The sequence below is a fragment of the Homo sapiens genome, chromosome 10, assembly GCF_000001405.40.
Source record: "Homo sapiens chromosome 10, GRCh38.p14 Primary Assembly".
NCBI classification, from domain to species: Eukaryota; Metazoa; Chordata; class Mammalia; order Primates; family Hominidae; genus Homo; species Homo sapiens.
Genome location: NC_000010.11, coordinates 25,408,200 through 25,425,773, shown reverse-complemented (window position 1 = coordinate 25,425,773; position 17,574 = coordinate 25,408,200). Strand labels below are relative to the sequence as shown.

Genomic DNA, 17,574 nt, shown 5'->3' with positions numbered 1-17,574 from the left:
AGAAGCCCAGGAGTGCTAAAGCAGAAGAGGCAATATAAGAAATAACCCATAAAATGGGATTGTTTGTTTTGTTCTTGCTGATTTGTTTAAATTCCTTGTAGATTCTGGGTATTAGTCTTTCGTCAGAAGCACAGGTCGTGAAGATTTTCTCCCACTCCATGGGCCGTTTACTCTGCTAATTATTTCTTTTGCTCTACAGGAGCTTTTTTGTTTAAGTACCATATATTTACCTTCATTTTTGTTGCTTTTGCTTTTGGGTTCTTGGTGGGCTAAGGACATGAATAGACAACTCTCAAAAGAAGATATACAAATGGCCGATGAACATATGAAAAAATGTTCAACATCACTAATTATCAGGGAAATGCAAATTAAAACTGCAGTGTGATACCACTTTCACTCCTGCAAGAATGGCCATAATAAAAAAATAATAGACATTGGCATGGATGTGCTGAAAAGAGAACACTTTTACACTATTGGTGGAAATGTAAATTTGTAAAACTACTATGGAAAACAGTGTGGAGAATCCTTCAAGAACTCAGGATACAAAATCAATGTTCAAAAATCACAAGCATTCCTATACACCAATAACAGACAAACAGACAGCCAAATCAAGAGTGAACTCCCATTCACAATTGAAGAGAATAAAATACCTACGAATCTAGCTTACAAGGGATGTGAAGGACCACTTCAAGGAGAACTACAAACCACTGCTCAATGAAATAAAAGAGGAGACAAACAAATGGAAGAACATTCCATGCTCATGGGTAGGAAGAATCAATGTCGTGAAAATGGCCATACTGCCCAAGGTAAATTATAGATTCAATGCCATCCCCATCAAGCTACCAAAGACTTTCTTCACAGAATTGGAAAAAACTACTTTAAATTTCATGTGGAACCAAAAAAGAGCCCGCATTGCCAAGATAATCCTAAGCAAAAAGAACAAAGCTGGAGGCATCATGCTACCTGACATCAAAGTATTCTACAAGGCTACAGTAACCAAAACAGCATGGTACTGGTACCAAAACAGAGATATAGATCAATGGAACAGAACAGAGGCCTCAGAAATAACACCACATATCTACAACCATCTGATCTTTGACAAACCTGACAAAAACAAGAAATGGGGAAAGGATTCCCTATTTAATAAAAGGTGCTGGGAAAACTGGCTAGCCATATGTAGAAAGCTGAAACTGGATCCCTTCCTTACACCTTATACAAAAATTAATTCAAAATGGATTAAAGACTTAAATGTTAGACCTAAAACCATAAAAACCCTAGAAGAAAACCTAGGCAATACCATTCAGGACATAGGCATGGGCAAGGACTTCATGTCTAAAACACCAAAAGCAATGGCAACAAAAGCCAAAATTGACAAATGGGATCTAATTAAACTAAAGAGCTTCTGCACAGCAAAAGAAACTGCCATGCCATCAGAGTGAACAGGCAACCTACAGAATGGGAGAAAAATTTTGCAGTCTACCCATCTGACAAAGGGCTAATATCCTGAATCTACAAAGAACTTAAATTTACAAGAAAAAATCAAACAACCCCATCAAAAAGTGGGCAAAGGATATGAACAGACACTTCTCAAAAGAAGACATTTATGCAGCCAACAGACACATGAAAAAATGCTCATCATCACCGGCCATCAGAGAAATGCAAATCAAAATCACAATGAGATACCATCTCACACCAGTTAGAATGGCAATCATCAAAAAGTCAGGAAACAACAAGTGCTGGAGAGGATGTGGAGAAATAGGAACGCTTTTACACTGTTGGGAGTGTAAATTAGTTCAACCACTGTGGAAGACAGTGTGACAATTCCTCAAGGATCTAGAACTAGAAATACCATTTGACCCAGCAATCCCATTACTGGGTATATACCCAAAGGATTATAAATCATGTTACTATAAAGACACATGCACACGTATGTTTATTGTGGCACTGTTCACAATAGCAAAGACTTGGAACCAACCCAAATTTCCATCAATGATAGACTGGATTAAGAAAATGTGGCACATATACACCATGGAATACTATGCAGCCATAAAAATGGATGAGTTCATGTCCTTTGTAGGGACATGGATGAAGCTGGAAACCATCATTCTTGGCAAACTATCTCAGGACAGAGAACCAAATACTGCATGTTCTTACTCATAGGTGGGAATTGAACAATGAGAACACCTGGACACAGGGCAGCAAACATCACACACTGGGGCCTGTCATAGGTTGGGGCATGGGGGACGGATAGCATTAAGAGAAATACCTAATGTAATGATGAATTAATGGGTGCAGCAATCCAACATGGCACATGTATACAGATGTAACAAACCTGCACATTGTGCACATGTACCCTAGGACTTAAAGTATAAAAAAAAAAAAGAACTAAAAGTAGATTTACCATTTGATCCAGCAATCCCACTATCAGGTATCTACCCAGAAGAAAAGAAGTCATTATACTAAAAAGATATCTGCATATGCATGTTTATAGCAGCACAATTCACAATTGCAAAAATATGGAATCAGCCCAAATGTCCATCAATCAACTAGTGGATAAAGAAAATGTGGTGTGTGTGTGTATATATGTGTGTATATACATATATACACACATATATACATATACATATATATGTATATGTATATACATATATATGTATATATGTGTAGACATATACACACACACACATACATATATATACACACAGACATACCGTGGAATACTACTGAGCCATAAAATGTAAAACAATGGCATTCGCAGCAACCTGGATGGAACTGGAAACTATTATTGTAAGTGAAGTAACTCAGGAATGGAAAACCAAACATTGTATGTTCTCACTCATAACTGGGAGCTGAGCTATGAGGACGCAAAGGCATAAGAATGATACAATGAACTTTGGGGACTTGGGGGAAAGTGTGGGGGGGGTAAGGGAATAAAAGACTGTACATTAGGTACAGTGTACACTGCTCAGGTGATGGGTGCACCAAAATCTCAGAAATCACCACTAAAGAACTTATTCGTGTAACCCAACACCACGTGTTTCCCAAAAACCTACTGAAATAAAAAATAATAACACAAGAAATTCTCCAATCTCAGGAAAAAATTCAAGCTGAAATTGGAGAGTATATGTCACATTTTTTTTTTTTTGCAAATACAATGAAAAGAGAACAATAGATGATAGTAAGAGAAAGTCAAAAAGCATTCAGATGAGGAATTTTGTTATATAAAGCAGCAGTTTCCAACCATTTTGGCACCAGGAACTGGGTTCGTGGAAGATAATTTTTCCATGGACAGAGGTGTGGAGGGTGTGTGTGGGGGTGATGGTTTCAGGAGGAAACTTTTCCACCTCAGATCATCAGGCATTAGATTCTCATAAGGAGTGCACATGTGCAGTTCACAATAGGGTTTGTGCCCCTATGAGAATCTAATACCAAGGCTAATCTGACAGCAGGTGGAGCGTAGGTGGTAATGCTGGCTCACCCATCGCCACTCACTTCCTGCTGTGCAGCCCCAGGGGTTTCGGACCCCTGCTATAAAGGACAAAAAGTGGGCCATGTTCAATTCTAGATGATAAATAAAGTGGTAATAACAGGGCTTTTGGACAAAAAGACAGTAACCCCAAATGCTGCCCAGAGCCACGTTGTTGCCATATAGAAGCAACAGTCGGTGGTGGGTGAATGGTCAGGTGTGACAGGCATCTAAAACTACCATTTACTGAACAAACGACTTGAGGATACAGACAATTCATAATGAGAAAATATTGGCCAAAAGTCAGAACTCAAAAGCAAGAAATTACAGTTAGAAAGGTCCAATAGTGAGCAATTATACAAAATAAACATATAGAAAGTCCCCACAATTTCCTTAAATGTGGTGAGAATCAAAAAACATTAGAGAATTGTTTTGCCTTTGAAATTGGTTGCTCTTATTGAAAATTGATGGCAAGTAACTCTTGATTAAATTTTAATAAACTGGGAAGGGGGAGAAAAGGAAAAAATAAAAGCACCAAATTTTTTATTCATATTCCATTAAAGGGAGCAAAAATAATATTGTTTTAATAATGTGATATTTTATTAGTTCAATAGAATTAAAGTAATGTTATATTTATTAGTTCAATAGAATAAGATTTAAGATTAATTTTGTAGACCTTAGAAAAACAAAAATTGAAGGAAGTATCATCCATTATAAACCTCTAGAAGTAAATAACATCATCCTATATTGGGTACAGCAGCTGGCCACTACTAGAATTAGGTTTAAGAAAAAAAATTTATAAATCAGTAAGGAACTTCTACAGTACCTCTATAGGTGGACTAAAGGTACAAGAAATGCTACAGGTCTTGGCTTCTAACCATTAGACCAGCTTTTATGTATTATGTATTTTCACATATTATACCATACTTCCCTCCCATAAATCACAGGAAATAGAAAGCACGAAGGAGGAACATCAATTGCTAAGTACAAAAGAAAAATCATAGACTTGATATTCATTGGGACTATGGAAGATAATATGTGAGATAATCCATTTAACTAAAGGACAATACAAATCATAAAACCTATTTATAAAAAGTGATATATCGTAATACTTAGGAATAAATTTAACCAAGGAGGCAAAAGGCTCATATACTGAAAACTAAAAACATTACTAAGCAAAATGAAAGACACATATAAGTAGAAAGATATTTTGTGTTTATTGATTAGAACACTTAATACTGTTAAGATGTCAATACTACCCAAAGCAATCTACAGATTAAATGCAAACTTGATCAAAATCCCAGCAATAGTTTTGTAGAAACAGAAAAACACATCCTAAAATCTACATAAAATTTCAAGGCAGCTCAAATAGCCAAAACAATTTTAAAAAGAATAAAGTTGGAGGCCTCACTCTTTCTGATTTCAAAATTTACTACAAAGATATAGTAATCAAAACAATGTAGTACTGGCATAAAGAGGGGCACACAGACCAACGGAATAGAGTAAAAAGCCCAGAAATACACCTTAACATATATGATAAAATGATCTTTGGCAAGGCTGACAGGACAACTCTACAGGGAAAGGACTATGTCTTCAACAAATGGTGTTGGGAAAACTGGAAATTCATATGCAAAAAAGAATGAAGTTGGATTCTGATCTTATACTATACATAAAAATTAACTCAAAATGGATTAAAGACCTAATGTGAATCCTAAAACTATAAAACTCCCAGAAGAAAACATAGAGGAAAAGCATTATGACTTCAGATTGGGCTATCATTTCTTGCATATGACACCAAAAGCACAAGTGACAAAAGAAAAAATAGATACACTTCATCAAAATTAAAGACACTGGGGGCCAAGTAAGGTGGCTCATGCTGGTAATCCCAGCATTTTGGGAGGCTGGGGCAGGAGGATTGCTTGAGGACAGGAGTTCGAGGCCAGTCTCGGCAACATAGCAAGACTCCATCTCTACAAAAAAATGTTTCAAAAATAGCTGGAGTTGGTGGCATGCAGCTGTAGTCCTAGCTCCTCAGAAAGCTGAGGTGGGAGGGTTGCTTGAGCCCCGGAGTTTGAGGCTGCAGTGAGCTATGATCATACCACTGCATTATAGCCTGAGTAACTGAGCAAAACCTAGTCTCAAGTAAATAAATAAATAACTTTGGGGCTTCAAAAGACCCTATTAAGAAAGTAAAAAGAAAAATCACAGAATGGGAGAAAATATTTGCAAACCATATATCTAGTAAGAGATTAATATACAGCATATATAAGGAACTCCTACAACTCAACAATGAAAAACCAAATAACCTGATTAAGAAATGGGCAAAGGCAGAACATAGAGGATTTTTAGAGTAGTAAAACTAGTCTGCATGATAATATAATCATGGATAAATGCATTATACATTTGTCCAAAGTCACAGAATGTACAACATCAAGAGTGAACCATAACATAGACTTGTGAAAATAAAATGGGCAAAAGACTTGAATAGACATTACTTCAAAGAAGATATATAAATGGCTCATGGCACATGAAAAGATGTTCAACTGTCACTAATCATTAGGAAAATGGAAGTCAAACCCACAATGAGATACCACTTCACACTCATTAAGATGGCTAATACTAAAACAACAACAACAACAACAACAAAACAACAGAAAATGACAAATGTAGGTTAGGGTATGGAGGAACTGTAAACCTTCCAAACTGGTGGAAAATGGTGGGGCCTCTGTGAAAAACGGTTTGGTGGTTCCTCAAATCACTAAACATAGAATTATATGATCCAGCAATTCCATTACTAGGTATATAGCAAAAGAATTTAAAACAAATATTCATATAGACACTTGTACATGAATGTTCACAGCAGCATCATTCACAATAGCCAAAAAGTAGAAACAACTCAAATGGCCATCAACAGATGAACGGAAAAACAAAATGTGGTATATAGATATGATAAAATGTTATTCATCATCAAGAAGAAATCAGGTTATAATATATGGTACCATATCAATGAATCTTGAAAACATTATGCTAAATAAAATAAGTCAGATACAAATGAATAAATATTATACGATTCCACTTATAGAAGGCATAAACATAGGCAAATTTGTAGCAACAGAAAGTAGAAGAGAGGTTACCAAGGGATAGAAAAATGGGATGTTATTGTATAATGGGTAGAGAGTTTGGTTTGTGATGATAAAAAAAAGTTCTGAAAATGAACAATAAAAATTTTACTAAAATAAAAATATGACATACCTAACTTTATTTTACCAAAATAGTCATTAGAACATCATAATTAACATATTAGAATTTCACTTAAAAAATCACTTCACATACTATATTAAAACATCTCATTTTTCAAACAAAAAATTAGCATTGTTATTAAATCTCTTGTCAACTTCTAATTTTTTTAAAAGAAAGATTATAGCAATAGAGGAGAAAATACCAACTACAGTGTGTCCATGTTTTTTAAAAATCAGTCTTTTCTTCTAAATTACTAAACTCAAAACATGCTAAAATTTACTAAAAATAAGTCAAACAAAAGATTATTTTCAGAAATGGTATATGCTGCTGTTCCTTCCAGTGTACCTTGTTTCTCTGAAATTTCCATCTGAAAATAAATTATACTAACACTTGACATTATTAAGCTGTAAGGAACCATACTCTCTCTTTGAGATCACGAATAGAAAAATGTTACTTGTCATAATATTTAGTAAAAAATGTAGAATAAATTAAAAAATATTTAATATTCAGGCTCTTTAAAATACTGTTTTAAAATTCTTGTTGTTTTAGAAGAACACACTGGGCTCAAAATTATTCACAGTTTACTGACAGATTTCATCTTTAACCAAAGGCATAGGGACAAATGTGTGTAATTAGTTTCCTAAATGTTTCTGCAGAGTGAATTTTAATTTGCTCTTGGAGGTGTCATCCAACAACTCCCACCCTGGAGTATAATGGAATCTCATTTGTGTCATTTAAAATGATAAAATGTTAAACCAATATTTCATCAATGATGGCTAGTAGTTAATTACTATTGAGTTGATATTTTGGGCCTGGACAAATCTCTTTCAATTAAATGTACTAAAAATTAGACTTTCCTGGAAGAACCATGCAACTGAAAGACATACGTATCTATACTATGTTATGTCTCTTCAACATGATCACCTAATATTTCATTTGAGAACAGAGAACTCTCTATTACCCCTACACATATTTGCTTCCTGCCCAAAAGGACTGGTTCAGCTGCTAGGTTTGACATTGTTATTGGTTTTCCTATCTTGGATTTGTCAATTCACAGAGCTACTCTAATATAAATAAAAGGGGCCTCAGTTCCAAAATGGTCCATTTCTAGCAGGCCCTCAATGACATACGGTGCACATATGAAAGTCAACTAAGATTTTATGAATTCTGGTGAAACTGGATTAAAGAACATGGTTCACATGTCAGCAAAAGAGGAAGCAGAGAAAAAGTCTCAGATTCTAGCTTAGGTGCCATCCCTAACCAGGTGTTTCCTGGCCCTCCCTCAGGGTGTCTTCTGGCATCTGAGAGCATGTACTTCTCTTCAGGAGTGTCTAGGTAGATGCCTCAGCCATCATTAGCACATGGCATTCTATCCCCAGGTTCACCTACTATAATAGCACATAGCTTCACAATCAACTGTCTTCTTGTTCTTGATAGGTAATAGAACCTCGAATTTGGTTTCACTCAGTGAATACCTTTTGAAAACTCAGTAAAGACCAGCAGTATTTATAAAAGTTTATATGAAGGATTTGCAGCCCTCCTATTTTTCAAGATCCAGGAGAAAAAATAGATTTCATGCATAGAACCTGCTTAGAGTCCTAAGAATGGTTCTGAGGATGATTCTGAATGAAATGGGAAAGAGAACCATGTGTGTCTACCACAGTCATGTAGCAGTAACATGTGGGCTGCACACTGGCCAACCGTGATCTAGACACTCTAAAAGTACCTGCATTAACATCAGCCAAGAACAGTGTATCAGGACCAAATTATGACACCCCCACAGAATTGATTTGCCTGTGCTGTATTTAAGTATTCAAACATCAGCACACATTTGGGGAAATTAACAGAAATAGAGCCATGAAAATAATTATTGTATTCCATGTAAGAATGCTCATCATTCACTACATTTTACACTATTGTCTACATAAAGATCCACAGGAGAAATTTCTTCCAAGACTTGGTGCCAGGAATATTTGAATTTCATCTCACTGACTGGTTGGTTTTTATCTTATGGCTACTATGACTTATTTTTTTTTTCCTCCCATTTGCACTGCTACTAGAAAACTCCAGGAAAGCCCTTCCTGCTGGCACTGGGTGAGAACAGTATCCCTGCCCTCATGGAATCCATTTGATATCTTAACCTCACCCTTGATTTCAACTAATTTTTCTATACTTATTTTCACTTAGCCTTAATTTATTAACTTACAGTTTTAATCTTCTAGAAGTGTTTTTATTTCATATGCTGGAATAAGGCTAAATATACATGCATAAACTTTTCAACCTGGCTGTGTTACCTTTGGAAACTTAATCTCTCAGGGGCTGGATTTTCTTATCGATAAAATGAGAGGTTTCTCCATTCTAGTTCTGAACTGTTTTTCAACTTGCTAAATTAAAACCAGGAAAGTATTATAGTAACAAACTTATTCCTATATTACAACTTTTTATTTTGTTACTTTTTTTTCTAACTATTATAACAACACAAGAAGGAGTATGTGTCCTAATTCTCAACATCCCTAATGACTTCATGATCAATACCCAGGAGAGGTTTCCATAACTTTCTCATTTTGAGGATGGGGATGGAAGCTTAAACTTCCTAGAAAAGCCAGTAATATCAATAAGTAGGTAAATAAACTGAGTTTTGTTTGCACACTAAGTAATCACTCCTGAAAAGGACAAAAAGCCACATATAAATAAATGCACAGTAAATGGTTTTTGAAGATTATCAGCACAGAAATATCTGCGATTGCATGTGTACCTATGAATGAATACTTAATGGAGCTTGGGTACCTACTTCAAAGAGGCACAGCTATGTTTCCCAACCTCTCATTCTTTCAAACTACTTTAAATGTCATACTTGGCCCCCAATGTGGGAAGCATACATGAATTGTGAATTTTATAAAGCGGTCCAAAATTATGTTACAAAAGACAAACACCTAGTGAAGACTAAGTGTAAGGTATTTTACATGGATTATTTCATTAACTCTTTTAAATAATCCCAGAAGGTAAGTATTAATAATATGTAAACTCCTTTAAAAATTTGTAATAGATTTATTGAGATATAATACACATACTTTAATATTCACCTTTTTAAAGTATATAATCCAGTAGTTTTTAGCATATTGTCAGAGTAGTGCAACTATTACCATAATCTAATTTTGTAACATTTTTGTCTTTCCAAAAAGAAACCCTGAACTCATTAGTGGTAACTCCCCATTCTTCCTTCCTGGTAGTACCTGGTAACCACTAATCTACTTGTCTGTATGAATTTGCCTATTCTGAGCATTTCATTTAAATGAAATGATACAATATGTGGTCTTTTGTAACTGTTTTACTTAGCAGTTTTCAAGGTCCATCCATGTCCTATGAACATTTGTATGCATATTTCTTTGTAGACATATGTTTTCAGTTCTTCTGGATATATACTGGGAGTGGAATTGCTGGATCATATCATACTTCAATTTTTAACTTTTTGAGGGACTGCCAAACTGTTTTCCAAAAGGGCTGTACCATTTACATTTCCAACAGGAATGAATGAGAGTGTCCAATTCTCCACATCCGCAACACTTGCTACCATCTTTTCTATTTTTAGCTATGGTAGTGGGTACTGTCGGTTTGAGTTGCGTTTTCCTAATGACTATGTGTTGGTAATCTTTTCATAAACATTTTGGCTTATATATATATATTTTCTTTGGAGAAATGTCTATTTAGATCCTTGGCTCACTTTTTAAATTGGTTTTACTTATCTTTTTATTGATTAGTTATGTGTCCTTTATATATTCTGGATACTATTCCTTATCACAGGTTGGATTTACAAATATCTTCTGCCATTCTGTGTGTTTTCTTTTTACTTTCTTGATGCTGTCTTTGATACAAAAAAGTTTTCATGAAGTCCAATTTATCTACTTTTGTCATGTATGCTTCTGTTGTCATATCTAAGAACCCACTGCTTAACTGAAGGTCATGAAGATTTATGTCAATGTTTTCTCCTAATAAAAGTTTCTTGGGTTTTTACTCTCTCATTTCGATCTATGATCCATTTTAATTTAATTTTTGTATATGGTGTGTGAATGCCATTTTACAGAGGAGAAAGCTAGACAATAAAAGGCTAAGCAATTCTCACAAAGTCTCACAGTATGCAAGGAGCTGAGACAGTATTCAAATCTAAACAATCTGGCTCATGAGTCTGCACACTTACCCACAACTGTAATGCTACCTCTGTATTACAATTGGATTTTTTGGTCAAAATACATGTAAATTGATAAATTATGTGAGCTTTGTTCTCTTAATTATCAATAAGTAGAGAATGTAATAGGAAACTCCGAAAGAAATGTCAATATTGCTACAAAAGAGATCATCAAGTTTCTTCTTTATCCAAAGAAATGTTGCAAAGACACAGGAAATCTTTAAAAAGCAAATCTAAATTCTACATTCTATAAATCTCTAATCTCTACACTGGAATGTTCTATCATTTTTACAGTTGCTTTTAGCAATTGAAATCACAGCAGAAAATTGCACTGAACATTTCTTTTCATTAGCATACAAGGTCTATGTTCATTCACTTTATTAGCTTATATCCCCCTTATATTATGTCACATTCTGTAAAAACTGATTCTTCGAAAGGTGACCATCTTAAAACTAGATAATGTTTAATTTAGCAATTACTACTATTAATAGTTTTTAATCTATAGAAATTTCACTAAAGTGACATGTAAAGCTATGTATTCTCATTATAGTCCTGTACAGTAGGATTCTGGTCATTAAAATGACATTTCACATGAAGGTCCAGGGAAATTAGCAAGGTTTAATAACCGGCAATGCTAAGTAACATTAACATTAAGACACTGGTCTTGTCAGAACTATCTCAGGTTTCTAAATATCCAATGTAATATTTTACCTACCATGTATTACCAACTCATTTAGCAGAGCAATCATTAATTATCAAAATCAATTAAAATTCATAGGGAACTGTGTGTTATCTACCATATAAATTAATTACATTATATCAGAGAGATTTCAGAGAAGTTTGTTAGACAGACCTTTCAATTCTACCTGCTATGCCACTGACAGGCTTTTTACAAAACCTATAATTTTATCTAGGTAACAGTGGTTATATATTTCTCAACTCTACTTGGCTACTATTTTTATTATATAACACACAGTTTGTTGCAAAAGAAAGATAAGTATTGGTTAAATGAGGAGCTATCTGCCTGTCTGCACTTACTTGCTGACTTAAAGCTTGATTTTAATTTGTGCTGGATTCTTCTGCTAATGAAACTGTCCATTTTAAATGACTATCAAAGTCTATAACATTAACATAATGAATACAATCTCCTAGAATCTCAACAGAGGCTTTATAATAATAAAACTGTTTACCTTGAGGCTTCATAATAGATGCCATTCACAGAGGGTATTTTTTTTAATTTCTAATGGGAACACTTTATACCTTCAATGAGCTCTGTAATCTAAACCAATCTGTACAACTCTGCCAGTATAAAGAGATCATTTGAATTTGGAAAAGGTTGGAAACTTTAGGTTTTGTTTTCTTTCCAAATGGCACAGATAAATTTCTGCAAGCATCAGAATCACAAATTCGAATACAACACTGGCTACATATAACTAATTGGGTGGCCAACTGGAGAAAGCTCCCCCAAAAGCTTTGTCCTGCATATTTTAACACTTCATCTACCCCTGACTGAAAGGCATACAAATGCTTCTACGCACCTCTTTTTATTGAGACAGGGCAGGGTCTCACTCTGTCAGCCAGGCAGAAATACAGTGGTGTGATCATAGCTCACTGTAGTCTTGAACTCTAGACTCAAGAGATACTCCTTTCTCAGCCTCCTAAATAGTTGGGACTATAGGCATGCACCACCACATTGGCTAGCTTTTTAAAAATTTGTGTTTTTTTTTGTAGAGACAGGGTCTTGCTATGTTGGTCAGGCTGGTCTCAAACTCCTGGCCTCAAGCAATTCTCCAGCCTTGGCCTCCCAATGTGCTGAGATTACAGGCATGAGCCACTGCTCCTGGATTGTACTACTCTTGATTACTTAGACTAGAACCAAAGGACATGTTCTCTCCAAAACTGTGTAAGTTCTTCCCGGGATTGTTATTATTCTGGGACACTAATGTAAGACAAAATATAAGGTCATAAATAAATTCATTCTTCAAAGTATAATGCGCTAAAAATAGTTGAGTCATTTACCATATTTAAACACAACTAAGAAAAGAAAAATATAATAAACATAACAAAGCTTCTTGGATACAAAAAAATTAATAATACATTGGATGCTGGTAGAATAAGTTTCTCTAGAGGCCAAAGACATGATGTAAAGGAGAGTCATTTAAGTCAATGAAGCACTGGAGATCCAGGCTAAACAAGGGGAAACAGTCTGTAAATGTTAAAATAAAGTATCATGTTTTAATCTCTATTTTTCTGGTCAGCTAAAGAATATAACTTTCATGTTCTAGTCCAATCATATTGTAGAAAGACTGCTGCTTAGGAGGGAAGCAACTTGAATTGGAAAATTCTGTTTGCTTAAAAAGATAAGAGGTTGCTCTGTAATACAGGATCATAACCAGGGTTCCTGGGTTTACCTTTGCTTTGCGAAAGTGGTAGACCACCAGCATGCTAACGAAGTCGAGCAGCATACACAGGGCTTGGAAGGAGATGATGGCAAGTCGTAAATACTTATCTTCCTGGACGAAGCATGGGCTGTCATCAGCACAGAAGGGGCAGCCCTCCCTGCAAGGTAGGCAGACATAGGCTTCTTCTGACACATCTTTTGTACTTCCTGAAATATGCTGATCCGGACCCCTTCCTGAAAGTTCCAAATAAAACCACAGTGTCATTTGCACCTCTTAGGTAGGTAAGATTGAGTATAGAGTCAAAAGACATCCGTGACTCCTCATTCCTTTTCTCACTTATTAAAGACCTTTTGTCAACCCTCTTGCTAGGGGAAGGAGTTACTTTTCCTTTAGACTCTTAACAAAATTCTTTTTATCTTTTTGATTTTAAAAATCATCATTGAAAGTGGTTGAGGAAAATTAGCAAAAATGGAAATAAAGCTTCATGAGGGCAGGGAACAGTTTTCTAAGTCTTTTTTTTTTTTTTTTTTTTTTTTTTTTTTTTTTTTTGTGATAGAGTCTCGCTCTGTCGCCCAGGCTGGAGTGCAGTGGCGCGATCTCTGCTCACTGCAAGCTCCGCCTCCTGGGTTCACACCATTCTCCTGCCTCAGCCTCCCGAGTAGCTGGACTACAGGTGCCCACCACCACGCCCGGCTAATTTTTTGTATTTTTAGTAGAGATGGGGTTTCACTGTGTTAGCCAGAATGGTCTCGATCTCCGGACCTTGTGATCCGCCCATCTCTGCCTCCCAAAGTGCTGGGATTATAGGTGTGAGCCACCGCACCTGGCCTTCTAAGTCTTTTATATCATTATCTACCACTCACCAACTGAAAAGCAAAAATCACATTCCACAAATATTTGTTAGAGAATTAACCAGAAGTAGGAATAAGAAAGTTGATGCTTTTATGTGCCGAGTAAATACATGCATACCTTTGGGAACTTCTTGACCTAGATAGCCCAGAATCCAAAATGAGACTTTGACTGCTCCTTAATTCATTCATCAGGGATCTCATCTACCAAGTTCATTAGGTCTAAATTAGGTAAAATGGTATTTAATTGACAGTTGTTCAGTGTGCAATTGCCTAATGATGGTGCATCCTTTGCCCAGAGTACAGTCTATACTTACAAGCTATCATGTAATTTCCCACTTTGCAAGCTCTTAGGACATTTTCACACTATTCACTTACTGCTATCGATCCTCCTTTTAATTTTAGGTTCTTCTGTCTCAGTTATCAAACTTAAGTTACTTCTGAAGCCCTACAGGTAAAGATTATCTTTAATAGTTAAGATGAGTTTAGCACCAACATCTATCCAATTAATGCCAAATACTAAGGAAAAAAAAAACAAAACAGAAACAACTATTTCCAACTCTGAATTCAACATAAAAGACATTAATGAATATGAACTCACTTCAGTATATAACACAACTTTGATTAACTGAGGAATTTGGGAAAGAGGTTCTTCTAGGTAACAGCATTTTAATAATACTCAGTTTAACAGAAAGTCTTAGTTTCTTTCAACTCTTATTAAGAATTCACAATCTTTCTATAATGTATTTGTCTGCTTTGTTTCCTCAGTAAAGACAATAGCAAAAGCATAATTGAATATTTCTCTGATAATTGTGGATATAATGCTGTTTAAGAGTCATCATTCTGTTACATGATGAAAAGCAAATGGATTTTATTGTCAAGCAGACATGGTTCCCTACTCCAGATAACTCTGTGACATGAGACAACTCACTAGAACACTTGGGGTCTTAGTTTACTTATTTATGAAACATGAATTGCTGTGGGACTAAATGAGGTTATTTATTTATTTATTTATTTTTGTGATGGAGTCTCACTGTGTCACCCAAGCTGGAGTGCAGTGGCATCATCTCGGCTCACTGCAATCTCTGCCTCCTAGGTTCAAGTGATTCTCCTGCCTCGGCTTCCTGAGTAGCTGGGACTACAGACACGCGCCACCACGCCTGGCTAATTTTTGTGTTTTTAGTAGAGACAGGGTTTCACCATGTTGGTCAGGCTGGTCTCGAACTTATCACCTTGTTATCCACCTGCCTCAGCCTCCCAAAGTGCTGGGATTACAGGTGTGAGCCACCGCACCTGGTTGAGATTGTTAATATTTATAGAAATCATAGTGACTGGCTCTTTCTCCTCTTCTCCAAATATAGGAGATGCAAGGATTAATTAGGAATCCATGGTGCCTTAAAGATATTCCTCCAAAACAGAGAAGTTAGAAGACAGAACTGAGATATAGAGTGGGTGTTACAGAGAGAACCTGCAGAGATCTCTCGGAGTGGATAATTACTGGGAAATGTACAGAGGGAGATGCTATACAGGGAGGAGTATTTACAGTGTCATAAAAGAAATGCAATTTACTAAAAAATGCTATAATGTGATCAATATGATGACTGAGAAAAGGCTACAAGATTTAATAATTATTTTATCCTTCACTGACCTATAAGGTAATAATTTCCAAAGAGTAGGAGTTTTAGTCCCTAAGTTGTCAAGGCTTAAGTACTAAATAAGTAATAAGATAGAATAGTATTTAAATAAATGCTCTATTGAATGAAAAAAGCAAGAAAAACTCATGGTTGATAGGAATAATTATGATATTTTTAAAAAGCGATTTTGTTTTTTGTTTTCTTTGAAACAGGTGAGATCATAACACAATTGCATCCAGGAAAAATGAGCCATTGGAAATTGAGGAATTATATGAGAAAACTGGTAAAGAAAGTATTTGAGAAGTCATGATTGGATGTAATCAAGAGCATAGTTGGAGAAATTAACTCTAAGAATATTTGATATCTCTTTTTCTAACACTGGAAAAAAGTAGAGGTAAATCAAAGATTTTTTAAAAGGTGTTTTGTTTTTTAGCAGAAAGAAGGAATCAGTTGAAAAGAAAAATACATTTTGAAGTAGAAAAAATGTGGCAGCCAATCTTGTAGTCTTATCCTTCTCAACAAAGCAGATAAGAATACATATTGAGAGTGAAGAAGGCCTTTTTTGAGACTAAAGACCTGAAGGTTGAGGCAGAAATATAATACAAGATGATTTGTCAGATCACTTGGCAGAAAAATAATCCAGTTAGAGTACGACAGTATGCATTACTAAGAAACATAGTCAAGATAGTTTGTGATTTTGTACAATTATTGGTAGCATACAAACAAATGCAGAGGATAGAACAGTCACAGACAGAGAATAAAGAAAGGATTGTGCTAATGACAGTTTTAGGCTTCTTTTCATGTGATTACAAAATGTGCTCCCAGACAGCAAGTGTGAGAGGAGGGGTAAAAAGGCGAAAGAGGAAAGCCAACACAAGGCTGTATAATGGAGCTGCAGCCTTCACTCCCTGGCAGCAGTTTGTGCTCTATCCTCCAGGGACTTCTTGAATCTGAGTCAATCATGGAGATAAAGGGGAAAACGTGTCTCCATTGTCAACCTTACTCATTAATAAAGGGTTTCCAGAATCATCAACCGCCTCCACGTGCCTGCATTATGCACACTTGAGTCCAAAGCAGGTTCTCACATCTTGTGCCATGAACACAGAGGTACCTCATAGCAGAACAGGAAGTGCGAAGCATGATATGAAGAAAGGCACACCTCAACGGCACTTAAACAAAGCCATTCAAAACCTTCAGGACATGGTGATCGCAATGGGTAGAGAAAGAGATAAGGCCAAGAGCAATTTGAGATGATGAAAAAAAGGTATCCATTGCAGAGGAAAACTTGAAGAATCATAGGGCACACAAGTCAAAAACTAAGAAGTATGAGAAGCTAGGATACTGAGAAAACAATGAGTTCACTCGAGTATGAACTGGATAATTACATAAGTGAAGTCAGAGTCATTTCACTGAGTAAGATAAAGGTGTCAAGGATTCAGAAGGTCTGAGGATGGTGACTACAGTGTCAAAAGTCATAGAGCACTGTAGAATAGGAGACGATAAAGTATGGGCTGTAAGATTCAGATTTGAGACACAGAGGTTAGGATTTCCCCCTTCTGGACAAGATGGAAGAACAGGGATTAAATTTACCTTCCCATCAGAAACAACCAAAAACAATGGACAAATTGAAACATGATGGCTTTACCAGGCACTGGACATTAGCAACAAAGGACAGTGAATCCTAACAGGTGCAAGCACTCCCCACACAAACCAAAATACCATAAGAAGAACTACAATAGAAGTTAAATTAATCAAAAAAGTATCTGTGAAGGTATTGTTTGTTTTAGAAAATAGTCCTTCT

At 35.7% G+C, this 17,574-nt stretch overlaps 1 protein-coding gene across 2 annotated transcripts in view; it reads right to left on the bottom strand.

Annotated features, from left to right (window-relative positions):
- Nucleotides 1-17,574, bottom strand: part of GPR158 (G protein-coupled receptor 158) — a 427,229-nt gene that overhangs the window by 176,456 nt on the left and 233,199 nt on the right. For both annotated transcript variants that reach the window (XR_930512.4, NM_020752.3), the window contains exon 4: nt 13,301-13,524. Coding sequence is in view for 1 of the 2 variants with exons in the window: in NM_020752.3 (NP_065803.2) it covers nt 13,301-13,524 (224 nt within the window). In the remaining variant the exon portion in view is untranslated. The remainder of the gene's footprint in view (nt 1-13,300; nt 13,525-17,574) is intronic.